General features: G+C 37.4%; 1 protein-coding gene across 37 annotated transcripts in view; it reads right to left on the bottom strand.

The window, feature by feature from the left end:
* Positions 1 to 13961, bottom strand: part of APC (APC regulator of Wnt signaling pathway) — a 138742-nt gene that overhangs the window by 15395 nt on the left and 109386 nt on the right. For 12 of the 37 annotated variants that reach the window (NM_001407470.1, NM_001354895.2, NM_001354897.2 and 9 more), the window contains 5 exons: positions 11501 to 11879; positions 8854 to 8949; positions 3598 to 3737; positions 2839 to 2916; positions 1873 to 1989 (listed from right to left, as the gene is read on the bottom strand). In NM_001407470.1, coding sequence (NP_001394399.1) covers positions 1873 to 1989; positions 2839 to 2916; positions 3598 to 3737; positions 8854 to 8949; positions 11501 to 11879 — 810 coding nt within the window. Of the gene's footprint in view, positions 1 to 1872; positions 1990 to 2838; positions 2917 to 3597; positions 3738 to 7484; positions 7539 to 8853; positions 8950 to 11500; positions 11880 to 13961 lie in introns of all 37 variants that reach the window. The other 25 variants (NM_001407472.1, NM_001407460.1, NM_001407469.1 and 22 more) reach the window with 4 other exon arrangements.

Here is a 13961-nt window from a genome sequence, read left to right as displayed (position 1 = left end):
CAAACATTTATATCATCCCCAAAAGTTTCCTACCCTCTCATAATCCTCCCCTTCTCTTCTACTCCCAACCCCAGGCCACCACTAATCTGTTTTCTGTCATTACAGATTACTGCATGTATCAATAGTCATTCTTTTTCACAGCCGAATCCTATTACTTTGTACAAATATTCCACAATTTGCTTACCATTCACCTGCTGACAGACATAGTTATTTCTAGTTTTTGACTATCATAAATTATTGTGGATGTTTGTGTGTAAGTCTTCGTGTCAGCACTTTTGCTCCTCTTGGGTAAATACTTAGAAGTGGAATGGTTGGGTCATATGGCAGGTGTATGTTTAACTTAAAAACACTGCCAAATGTTGTCCAAAGTGATTATACCATTTTATATTCCCACTAGCAGAATACATGATTTCCAGCTGCTCAACATCCTTGAAAATGCATGGTCAATCTTTTAAATTTTAACCAATATGATATGCATAATGGTATCTCATTGTAGTTTTAATTTGTATTCCCTGATGATTAATGATATTAAGTATCTTTTCAAGGGCTTATCGGCCATGTTCTTTTCTTAAATGTCTTCTCTCCATTCAACAGTGATACAGGTATTTTTATGCAGATGCTAAGTATATTTGAATATTATCTTTATAACTAATAATTTAGCTGAATGCTTTTCTATCTAATAAATTTTCAAGGGTTTTCCAAGAACAAAATAATATACTTTACCAAAAATGCATAACTAAACCAAAAAAAAACAAACCTTTTGCCTTCTCTGAAGAGGAAAGTTTTGAAGAAGAACATGTAGGCTGTGGGTATAGGAGGACTAGCTGGGTGAAAGGAAACCTAGACTAGCTAAGACAACTTGCTTGGTCCCTCTCAGATTTCAAGTTTACTTTTTTTTTTCTTTTTAAATTTAGCCTAGTTTCTGAAGCAGATGGACTGCCTGGAGATATTTCCTTCTGTAAACAAATTATTATTTGATGATTCCTCACCCTTGGCTCTGATCACCTCTTGATAAGTTGACCATCAAAATTTGAGGGGATTGAGGTTTGGAGAGCACAAAGGTACACTTATACCAGTGATTCTTAATTGGTGGTGACGTTGTCCTTCCTCCCTCCCACAGACATCTGACAGTATCTGGAGACAATTTTGATCGGCATAACTAGGGGGAGGGTATACTGGCAGCCAGTTGGCAAAGGCCAGGGATGCTGCTAAACAATCTACAGTGCACAGGTCAGCCCCAGCAAAACGAAGAATTATCTGGTCAAAAATGTCTATAGTGCTGAGGCAGAGAAACCCTGATATACATTAAATCCCCTTATATAATCTTTTCTACCTTAGTACTTTAGGAGTTTGCGGTACTCTAAAACTATGGACTGGTGAGATAAACAGGTAAGAAATTAGGGAATCTAGGCTGGGCGTGATGGCTTGCGCCTATAATCCCAGCACTTTGGGAGGCCGAGTTGGGCAGATCACAAAGTCAGGAGTAGTTCGAGACCAGCCTTACCAACATGGTGAAACCCCATCTCTACTAAAAATACAAATAGCCGGGAGTGGTGGCGTGCACTGTAATCCCAGCTACTCAGGAGGCTGAGGCAGGAGAATCACTTGAACATGGGAGACGGAGGTTGCAGTGAGCCAAGATCAGACCACTGCACTCCAGCCTGGGCGAGAGAAAGAGACCCCATCTCAAAAAAGAAATTAGGGAATCTCATGGCTAAAAGAAGGCAGCAAAAAAAGCTAAACATGAAATTCATATTATAGTACTGAATAATACACAGGTAAGAAATTAGGAAATCTCATGGCTAAAAGAAGGCAGCAAAAAAAAGCCAAACATGAAATTCATATTATAGTACTAAATGTTTTCAAAGGTACCTTTTTAACTTCTAAAGCACATTCCATCAATGCTTTCACACTTCCAACTTCTCGCAACGTCTTTTTACTATTTACATCTGCTCGCCAAGACAAATTCCTCAAAACACTCGCAATAACCTGCAAATTAATCAATTTTAGATTAATTTATACATAAAATCATACTAGTTGCTTTTTTGTTTTTAATGCTAGCAGTAAGAATAGAAATCTATTAAGAAAGAAATTCTGGCTAGCCGTGGTGACTCACGCCTGTAATCCTATCACTTTGGGAGGCTGAGGCAGGAGGATCTCCTGAGACCAGGAGTTCAAGACCTTCTGGGTAACACAGTGAGACCCTGTCTCTATGAAAACTTTTTAAAAATTAGCTGGGCATGGTGGCATGCGCCTGCAGTAGTTCTAGCTACTTGGGAGGCTGAAGCAGGAGGATCCCAGGAGCTTGAGGTTACTGTGAGCCATAATCGCACCACTGCACTCCAGCCTGGGCAAGAGAGGGAGATCCTGTTTTTTTTTTTTTTTTTAAATTCCTCCTAAATGCTACTACAGTGCCAAAAAGATTTCCTACAGTCTAACCACAATATAATTATTTTTCTTTTTCTAGTGTTAATGGAACTATCTTTTATACATGAGATACTAAATACTGAGCAACAATCTAAATCAGGATATTAGCTGGGTGTGGTGGCACACGCCTGTAATCCCAGCATTTTGAGATGCTGAGGTGGGCAGATTGCTTGAGCCCAGGTGTGGTGAAACCCCGTCTCTATAAAAAATACAAAAATTCGTTTGGCATGGTGGTGTGCACCTGTAGGCCCAGCCTCGAGAGGCTGAAGTGGGAGGATTGCTTGAACCCTGGAGGCAGAGGTTGCAGTGAGCTGAGATTGCACAACTGCCCTCTAAGCCTGGGTGACAGAGTGAGACCCTGCCTCAAAGAAAAAGAGAAAAAAGAAAAACAGGTGAAATTCTAAATAGTACCTGCTGTAAGTCTTCACTTTCAGATTTTAGTTGGGCCACAAGTGCTCTCATGCAGCCTTTCATAGAGCATAGCGTAGCCTGTAAATTAAATACAGAATAGAGGATCATTAAAAAGACAACTTGAAGCCAAGCTTTATTTTTGGCTACTAAATGTCTAATTCAGTTTTCATTATTTTGTTTTAATCATAACTGATACTTCACTCATAAAAAATCTAGAATAAGATTACCTAAATAAAAGACAAATATTCTCCTAATTCTTTGCTATCTGTTCTTCCTTTGTCAAACTAGAGAAATAAAGTGAATAAGTGGTGAGAAATGATAAGCAACAGGTTTTAGAGTAAAGCCTCTTATTTGGATGGAATCAATGTGTGTGTAACACTTGCCTTGGTCTTAAGAATTTTTAGATTTTTAATCCCATTCCTAGGAAGTGTTTTATCTTTTATTTTTTAATTCTACACAGTTAAACTTCTCTAGTAATGGATCACAGAAATGATCCCTACAAGTATATTCTTATGAATGGTGTTTTTAATGCAATTACATAAATTCACTACTGTGTTCCATCTGTAGATGTACCTTTGCCTTTGTTTAGGCATAAGACAAACAAATGAGTAAAGATAAGCGAATGTGAAGCACAGGTTTTTATCAGTCATTGTTTAATGAGGAGAGTGAAAAAAAAGAAAATCAGTAAAATGTATTTGTATGAAAGTAAATTAACTCATACCTGAGCTATCTTAAGAAATACATGTTATAAAAACATACCTTGTTGGCTACATCTCCAAAAGTCAAGTTTGTCAAAGCCATTCCAGCATATCGTCTTAGTGTAATACTGTAGTGGTCATTAGTAAGCCCATACATTTCACAGTCCACTTGCAATAATTCTGCAATGGCCTGTAGTCCCCCTAATTTAAAAAGGGCAAGAGGAAAAAGACAATCATCTAAAATAAAACAAACTGGTACCAAGTTGGTAACTTAAATACTAGGAAAAAAAAACTCAATCAATGAGAATATATGGTTTAAATTTGCCTTTAGAATTATAAGCTACAAAAACTGTTATAAAGAACTTCTGTATAATATATTTATAAAGTACAACTGACAATTATTCCATTTTATGCCAGTTTCTCCACCCCCAGCCCCTTATCTTGCTGAGCGAAATAATTATTTTCTATTTACTGCATATACACTGCACCTTGCCAACAGTGAAGAAGGCTATTTTCTAACACTAGTTCTTCGTGAACATAAGCAGAAAAAGGTAACTTATTATTATTATTAGGGCTTTATAAACACTCTTTATTGTCATACACTGTGGCCTAACTACTTTAATTTTTTTTTTTTGGCAAATAATTACCCTTAGGAATACGGATGCCTTTAAATGAAACTGTGCATGAAGAAAAACTAAAAAGTTTTGTTTTTTTTTTTTTTTACAAAAAATGATCATCTGTTCAATTTATTAAGTTATATAAAACTACTGATTTGTGTTTTTCAAAACATTTCTTACTTCTCGTTGATAATATCAAATATTAACTATACTAAGATTTAGTATTTTCTTTCCCCTGATTCTTTCCACTGAAAATGCTAAACAATGCCCACAATGGCCAACAATAGGAAGTCAAGGAGAAAACAAAGGTAAAGGAATGGGAAAGACACAAAGGAAGCAGTTAAAAAAAAAGTGAAGCAAAATGGTGAGGAAGTGAACAAAAGAGAAAAATGCATGTGGAGGCTATTCAAAATATAATTCATCAAATATTAATCATCACGGGACTCAGAAAGAAAAAGATGAATATAAACAGGCAATTCTTGGATACTACAAGTCTAATTAGGTCATTCATCTGCAAGACAGCCAGTACGTTAATATTTTTAATAAGTGATCTGGGAAGTTCAATATGCAGAAGAATCTGCAAGTTTGTAAAACAAAGTTCTGTCGTGGGTCAAGAATTCCAAGCCAAGGGATTTAAATGTAGGAAGATTTATGCAAAACTTTATTACTAGCAGGAATGACAGACATGTTTGAATGTAGGTAAGTGAAAATTAATTTGGTTAAAGAAAATCCAAATCATATTTAGGAAAATTTTCCTCCATTCACCTGCAACAGTGGCAAAATACAGAGACAGTGAACAAAAATCAGTCACTGTCTTTATGAAGAGCGTACAGATTGGAGCAAAGATAGATGAACTATGTAGAACCACAGGGTGATATAATAGGTGGACTTAACTTAGACCTGGGATTAGGCTCCATAAGAAAAAGGCTGAGGAAATAATCTTTTAATGTTTAAGTTGAAACGTAAAGGATGAATGTGTATCTTTCTTTTTATTTTTATTTTGGTAGAGACAGGGTGCCACTATGTTGCCCGAGCTGGTTGCGAACTCCTAGGTTCAAGTGATTCTCCTGCCTCGGCCTCCCAAAGTGCTGGGATTACAGGCATGAGCCATCAGGTCTGGCCAGATGAATGCGTATCTAACAAGGGTGGGGCAGGAAGAAGAAAGATGCGTTCTAAGCAAAGGAAACAGCATGTGAAAGGGCCCCTGGGCCTGAAATATTTAACAGCAAGGAGAGGGCCACAAAATGAGGCTATAAACATGGGTAGATGCCGGATCACATAAGACTTTATGTGCCACATTAAAGATTTTACGCAGAAAAAGGAATAATTAGATGCACACTCTAAACAGATTACTATGGTTTCAGTGAACAAAATCGACTATGAGTGGAAATGGGAAGAGAAGTAAGACAAAGTATTGTAGAACAGGAGAGACGATGGTGGCTTGGACTGGGGATGAAGAGAAGAGTGATGACATAAGATACTTTTAAGTAGCAGAATTAAAGCAGTCAGTTGCTATTTGCAGGGGATAAGGATGGCATCGTGAATGATTTCCAAGATTTTGAAATTTGAGCAACTGGATTGGAATTTCTGAGAAAAGGAAACTGGGAAAAGATAAGAGATTCAGGGATGGGAAAGATTACGAATTCAGTTTGTGACAGTTGAGTTAGAAGTGTCTAAAATACCACCTAAGGGAAGATGTCACATAGTCAGTTCAATAATGTGTCTAAAACTCAGGGAAAAAACTCAAATTGAGCTGTAAATTTGAAAACAAAAACAAAAACTATAACAGAAGCATAGAGAGAAAGGAAAAGAGCCTAGGGCAGAGCTTCAAGGAATTCCACCATTTTACACTTGGGTAAAAGAAAAGGAGCCTGTAAAAGAACTGAGAATTTTGACCCATGAAATTGACAGGGAAGACCTTAAGACTTGGCCTGGTATACTAATGAGATCCCCAAGATGTCGAGTATTTTAAAGCAGAGGATCAATACCAAAACAAAACAAACTATGCCTTTTGTCTGTATAAAATCTTGCCTGGTGTGACAATAACTGGGATACTTTCTTAAGAAAGATAAAATGCACCTAAAGAAGATGCCAAGAAGGCACTACATGATCAAAGAGTTGAGTACTCTTGTATGGAAAAACTAAAAATCTTAGGATTTGATACTGAAAATAAAGATTAAATAAGAATGTGGCAGATATCAACAGATTCAGGAAGAACATGGCTAATAAAAAAAGAACATTCAAAAAAATTTAGACTATCAGATAAAAGAGGAAGTGCTTTTTGATTTCAGGCAAATGAAAAGATTTCAGAGAATTTTGAGGCACAGAATAGAATTCATAGGTTAAACCTATAAATGGATTTGCTAAAATATGCAAATTCATGACTGGATTGATACAATTAAAAACTGGTTGCTCTAAGAAAAATCAGGATGTTTCATGGTAATGCAAAGATGATGAACATGTCCTTCTACAATTTTCTTGGTGCCTGTTAGAAAACAGTGGTCTAAATAGACCGGACTATTGCCCAATAGGGTAAAACTACCGATAGTAGAGCACCAACAGACTCAGGTGACATTCAACAGAATCCTTAATTTAGACTCTTATGAACAAAAGAAAGACTGATAATTTTAAAAAGCATATTGCTTTTGTTTTATTTGGTTTAGATAGTCACCATTAGCATGAAATGCCTTGTTCTAAAATAAATATCACAGGCTCAACAAGAATATTCTACTGGTGTTTCACAAAATTTCCCGAACATAAGAATCAGCCAGGCCACTTATCACATTGATTCCTAGGCCCTTCCCCTGGAGATTCTGTTTGCTACAGTGCCAGAAAATCCAGTTTGACGAGTGCCTCTGGGTGATCATTATGATTTAGGTATTTTGTGAAACACTAATGCAAATAAACTGTGAGTTCCCTGAAAGCCAGGACCAGGTCTTAATCATTATAAAAATCTAGTGCCTAGCACAGTTTCTGGGGTAGATTAGGGAATCAATAAACATATATCATGGAAATTATATTCTAAAACTTCTAATACTAATAAGTGCAAACTTAAATGACTGATAGCTGTAGAATCTTCATATATGTACAAATGACCATCCCAGCTGACTGAACTAAGGAATTCCCCTTTACCTATTTGGGATTTCTTTTCTCCTTATCCCTTACTGCCAAAACCTTGTGCTGTCTTGTACTATTATCTCCCCGCAATCCACACACCCTAATCCTCCTTTTGCCCCAGTGCAAATCTGGAGGTGAGGAGTGAGAAGAAGGTAATCCCCTGTGGCTATGTCCCCAGCAGTCACACCCCCAGAGGCCCCATCCTGCTCCTCACCTGAAAGCCCCTGCCCTAGCTCCTGTGATGAAATGCCCCGGGTAGCCTTCCTACCTGAAGAAGGAAGAGGAACAAATACTGAGTCTAGGTTTTATTTTGAAATCCAGATGATTAATGTCTCAGTCCTAGTCTACAATCCATTGGAATACAGGAACATTTACAGAATAACTTTTGAGGTATCTTAAAACTGAATGTTTTCCTGTTTATTCATTATTTTTTATCCCCTTCCTGTTATGATTAGCATTTTAAAAAATTTAAAATGTTCACAAATGCTGAGATTGTATTAACGAGGGGAGAATTCATAAGATTAACTGAGAATCCACAGGAGACCAGGGGGAGGAAAGAGAATCAGGTAGGCCAATTGCTACACCACTAGGAAGGAAAGCATGGCCAGAGGGCAGGCCTGAAATCTTAAGGTGCAGAGCCTCCCAAAGTGATGACTCTGAAGGAGACAATACTTTTGGCTGTTCAGGTTCTCTGTGTAAGAGTCTCATGACTTCATCACTTTTAAGATAAATGACGAATGAAACGATGAGGGGATAGGAATATAAAGTGGTGGCTGGAACATAATGTAACATAAACGGCACAAAAAGCAAGGGCACAATTACACTAAAATGGGAATTAAGCGTATGGTTCTTGCTTGTGGCATGACTAGAGAGATCCAGTTCACATGAGATGGTTCAGCATGATGCAATTTATAAATACCACATGTACAAAATGAACCTAGAAATCAAAGAAAAACCATTACATAAAAAATGGAGTGCACTGCTGGTTATATAAGGCTTAGTGTGTGAAAATACATACCTAAAGAAGTAATCATTCCAAAGTTATAATGAAATGTTTCTGACTTAAAGCATAATACTTTTCTATATTAACCAATTTCAAAGATACCAGGCTGCTTATGATGAAAATCCTGTAAAGTACCAATAACCATGAAGATAAATGACAATCTTAATAATAATTCCCTCTGATGCTCATCAAAAGTGACTGAGTTCAATCACAATACAGCAGCTCCACATTTCAAAATAATTCAAATTACCATCCTCATCAGCTGGCACATATAGAGTCTACTTTGGCAAAAGGGACAAAGAGTGACCCATTTTGTCATTTTTTTTCAATCTCCGGCTTCGATTTTGAAAAAGTTAGCTTATGACAGGGTAGCAGTTTCTGTGATTCAGGATCCTTTCTATGCTGGAAACCAGGGTACAATTTTTTGCTACACAGAGGAAGCAGCTGATAACAGAAGTTGGTGGCCTTATATCCTAATTCATCAATGATTAAAAATCTTTATTTACTATACTGAATTTCTACCATGATTTAAAAATCCACCAGTAATTGTCTATGTCATTAAAAAACATTTTTGTCTTACCTAGTTCATTCATTGCATGTCTATGCTCTTCATCAAATGAAAGTTTCATTAGAACACACACAGCAGGACAGATCTGATGTTCAACAGGAGCTGGCACTGAAAAATAAAATCAACATAAACCATAATGCTTTGTTATTTGAAGAGCAATGATGTTTATTGTACTTTAAAAATATGCAGGGATCACTAATATAACCCTAATTCACGGAATTTTAGTGGATCAACAAATATTTGCTGAAAGGATGAATAAATACTACAAATGTGGAACAAAAAATAGGAATAAAGGGATTTGTTTCCATAAAAATGTTTACCACTCATCTGCCCTTGACTAAGTCTCTTAGAATAAGTCTAGGAGGTTTATGCTATTACTCATATAGCTAATAACTTAAAATTATGTTGAGTATACAAAATAATAAAAATATTTTGGTATAAAATGGTTTAATTTTGTTTATAATTTCTTTCTTTCTTTAAAAAAACAACAAAAAAAAAACAAAACAGGGTCTTGCTCTGTTGCCCAGGCTCGAGTGGAATGATCATAGCTTTCACCGCAGCCTTGTATTCCTGGGCTCAATTGACCTTCCTGCCTCAGCTTCCGGAGCAGCTAGGACTACAGGCATACCCCACAATCCCTAGCTAATTTTTAAAATTTTTTGTAGAGATAGGGTCTTGCTATGTTGCCCAGGGTAGTCTCAAACTCCTGGCCTCAAGTGCCGCTCCTGCCCGGGCCTCCCATAGTGCTAGAATTATAGGCACGAGCCACCGTGCTTAGCCCAGTTTATAATTTCTATTTAAACTACTATCATGAGTGTGGGTTAAAAGCACATGGTGCTAGGTGCAGTGGCTCACACCAGTAATCCCAGCACTTTGGGAGGCTGAAGTGAGCAGATCCTTGAGCCCAAGGAGTTCAAGACCAGCCTGGGAAACATGGCAAAACCCCGTCTCTCAAAAAAAAAAAAAAAAAAAATTAGTCAGTTGTGGTGGCACATGCTTGTAGTCCCAGATACTCTCAGGAGGCTGAGGTAGGAGGAGTGCTTGAGCCTGGGAGGTTGAGGCTGCAGTGAACTGTGATCGCACCACTGCATTACAGTCTGGGCGCTTGTGTGAGACCCTGTCTCAATACAAACAGAGAAAAAAAGCATGTGGCTATGTACAAATGTGATCTCTAATACAAAAAGTTACACAGATATACTAGACAGTAAACAGATATTTTTTAAAAGGGTGACTAAGAAAATGTACCTCCACATTCAATACTATGCACGAGGTTTCAAAACTCATTTGACGTAAGTTTTTAAAAAACTTCTCAAAAGAAGTATCATTTTATTCTATTTAATTTTTTGAGAACAAATATCAGGAGTACAAAATGTGGGTCATTACGTAACTGTGGATAGCCAAAGAAACAATCCAGGAAGGCAATGTTCTCCCAGTAAAATCTTACTAGTTCCCCTCACCCCAGGACAAATAGATATGAAAGGCAATCCCTTTTTTCTTATGCTTTTTAAATTTTTTAAAAATGAGATAGTGTCTCACTGTGCTGCCCAGCTGGTCTTTAACTCCTGGGCTTAAGCAATCCTCCTGTCTCAGCCTCCCAAAGTGCTGCCATTACAGGCATGAACCACCACACCTGGCCTTTCTTATCCTTGAACATTTTTAGATTTCAAATAAATTCACCTTCATACCTAAGCTTAAAAAAATCTGCTATAGGTTCATAAGTCATGTTTGTATCATCTCCTCTTCACATCAATAGGCTGATACAGTAGAATCATCTACTTGTAGTGCACGTGTGTGTGTGTGTGTGTGTGTGTGTGTGTGTGTCAGTTCTTATCAGGTGAAAGGAAGGTCTTACCTTACATACTTACTGCTTTTGGTTCTTGGCTACAGGAATGAAATAAGTTATATCCCCATAGGTCCTAACTCCCATGCTGCTCCTGCGGGAGTGGGGCTGAGGTCTAAGGGTCCCTTCCTGAGTGAAGAGCTGGGTGGATTATCACTCCCAGCAACTGAGGCCCACTGTCTACAGCTGGATGGTACAGTAGGAAGAGCACCGAGCTGAGAGTCAGGAGATCTGGGCTCTGTTCCTGGGTCTACCACTTACTAGGTGTGAGGCCATGGTTAAGTCCTTTAGCTCTTCTGAGCCTCAGTTTTTTCATCTGTAAAATGGAGATGATAATACCTTCCCTTCCTACTTCAGTAGGTTGATGTGAGGAGCAAATAACATAACAGATGTAACGCTGCTCTGTATCCCCTGAATATAATGATATGCAAATGTAAAAGATTATGGTTTGGACACTAATGGCTATAGGAACTTACGTAAAGTCACTTTCATCTATGAAATGAGCTTCAGCTATGAAGTGAAAGATGGGCAACATAATTGCTCAAGTTCTTTCTAGCTCTACTAAGGCCCTACTATGCTATGATTGTATAAATTTCTCTTGACTTACTGTTCTTATAGTAGTGCACATAACATTTTCCTTTGCTAAATTTTTCTAGGGAAATACAGACTTAATCTTTTAAATATGAGTAGCACAAATGGCTGATATGAATTTTCTCCTCTTAGTCATAAAGACAGCATATTAACTAAACATGTTTTCTGTTTAAAAATTTCACATTTGCTTTGAAACATGCACTACGATGTACACTATAGAGAACATACTTGGATTTTTGTCCTGGTCCATGCCTGGTTCATGAGCTTCCTGCCACTCCCAACAGGTTTCACAGTAAGCGCGTATCTGTTCCAAAAGATGAAGGACTCGGATTTCACGCCTGCCTCTCTTGTCATCAGGCTGTGAGTGAATGATGTTGTGGAGTGCTGCACTGGCCCTGGCCCGAGCCTCTTTACTGCCCCGGGAATTTCCCAACAATACAGAGTCTTTGTCATTGCCATGTAAAAGCTGGATGAGGAGAGGAAGACATCCAGACTGTCGCATGGATATACAGCTGTCTTGGGAGCTAGACATAGCTAGCAAAGTTCGCGACATATCATCCTTATCATGAGTACCAAGCATTGACAACAATGAATACACCATTTCCACCTGTGGGCCAAATGAGTTTAGAAACAAAATTACGACTTTAATATCCAAAAGCCAAAAACCAATTAAGTGATGAATGGGATATTTACTATAACTCTAAAAAAACAAAACAACCCCCCCCGCCAAAAAAAAAACAAAAAACCGGAAAACCTTTCCAGGATGAAGTAATCAGTGTTATTTCAAAATCTATGTATCATCACCAATTTGTTTATGTGAGTAAATAGTATGAGTGGTAATATACAGTATTAAAAGCAAAAGTAGGTTTTTGCATACTCACTAACAAACTGTTAGTGCTGTTTGCCTAGATAAGTTGGTGCTAATCCACTGACTATAATCAGTGAAAAACAACGGATTTCACACACATAGAGAATGTAGTTTATCTAAATCTTTACATAATTTAAAACTTTATCTTATTTCTTTTAATCTATACCTATAAGCAATAAACAGAAAACATTTCTGCAACAATTTTAAGTACTAATTCTCAGCAATCATTAATTCTCGTCAGATGATAATATTATTAAAATTATACGATTATAAATTTAAAAACATTTTGTCATAAAAAGGAAAATGCCATGATCATACAGAGTGAGAGCCAGGATTTGTAGTCAGTTTTTTAAAAAGCAACTGGTAAGTACTAATTACTCTCTGACAATAAATTCTACGTATTTAGTTAGAAGCAGATTAGAAACCGGAAAGTGGCACCCAGTTATCCTGGGCCATGGTCCACTCATTTTAACGCTAGAGGGTATTATATAAAAGTAGAGGCTATTATATAAAGAATGCATCATTCTCTATAAGTCAATGGTTCTCAACTGGGGGCAATTTTGCCCCCATCGGGACACATTTGACAACATCTTGGAGACATTTTTGGTTGTCACAATTGTAGGATGGGTATTTTAGGGGAATCTAGTGGGGAGAGACCAGGGACGTTACTATACATTCTAGAATGCAACAAAGAATTATCCAGCCAATAGTGCTGAGGTTTAGAAATGCTGCTTTAGATGCGTAAATACACATACACCTTTAGATATGAAAGTTTTAGGAAGGCAGTATAGGACTGCGGATAAATGGGTTTTCATCGGAGCTAGGTTCAAATTTTGGCTCCACCTCTTAGGAGCAAGCTGTGATACTATTATAGTTAAGCTATTTGATTTCTCTGAGCCTCAGTTTTCTGAGCTGCAAAATGGAGAAATTTACCTACCTAACAAGGTTTTCTCCATTAAGGTGAAATAAAATAATACATGTATAGGACAGTAGCTAGCATTCAAAATACATACTAGGGTCTTAATATTATCATGCATAAATTACTTCAAAAAGAAACAGTATTCTAATTGCCAGTTTTCACACAATATTACTCTTGAATATTCAAGATTTTCTTTATAGTAAAAACTACATGTTGAGGTTAGACAGATCTGGAATTAAATTTCCATGCCTAAAATTTTTTTTGCTTCAGTTTTCTCATTTAGAGAAATATGGATACTTCATAGAATTTTGGAGAGGACCAGAGATAAGGTACATACAACTCCTGGCACAGTGAATGGCATATGAGGTCCCAAGAAGTATAAACAGGATTAAGCCTCATAGTGAGAATATCATTGATTATTCTAAAATCATTACTTAAATCAACATTAGTTATTTCAGTAATACCTTTCCCAAGAGCTATTATATTATTTACAGTAAAGAAAGAGTATACAGAGTATGCTGTGAAAACAATTAATGGAATTCGAGTTAATCGAAAATACATCGTTTAGTAATATTAGAATTTCATTTCATCTTAGTGAATATTAAAATCTCTGATGGGCCGGGTGTGGTCACTCATGCCTCTAATCCCAGCACTTTGGGAGGCAGAGATGAGCGCATCACCTGAGATCAGGAGTTCGAGACCAGCCTGGCCAACATGGCAAAACCCCATCTCTACTAAAAATACAAAAAATTAGCCGGGCATGGTGGCACGCACCTGTAATCCCAGCTACTTGGGAGGCTGAGGCAGGAGAATCACTTAAACCCTGGAGGTGGGGGTTGCAGTGAGCCAAGATCGTGCCACTGCACTACAGCCTGGGCAACAGAGCAAGACTCCATCTCAAA

This window comes from Homo sapiens, chromosome 5, assembly GCF_000001405.40.
Source record: "Homo sapiens chromosome 5, GRCh38.p14 Primary Assembly".
Classification (NCBI taxonomy): Eukaryota; Metazoa; Chordata; class Mammalia; order Primates; family Hominidae; genus Homo; species Homo sapiens.
This window is presented reverse-complemented; position numbering and strand designations above follow the sequence as displayed.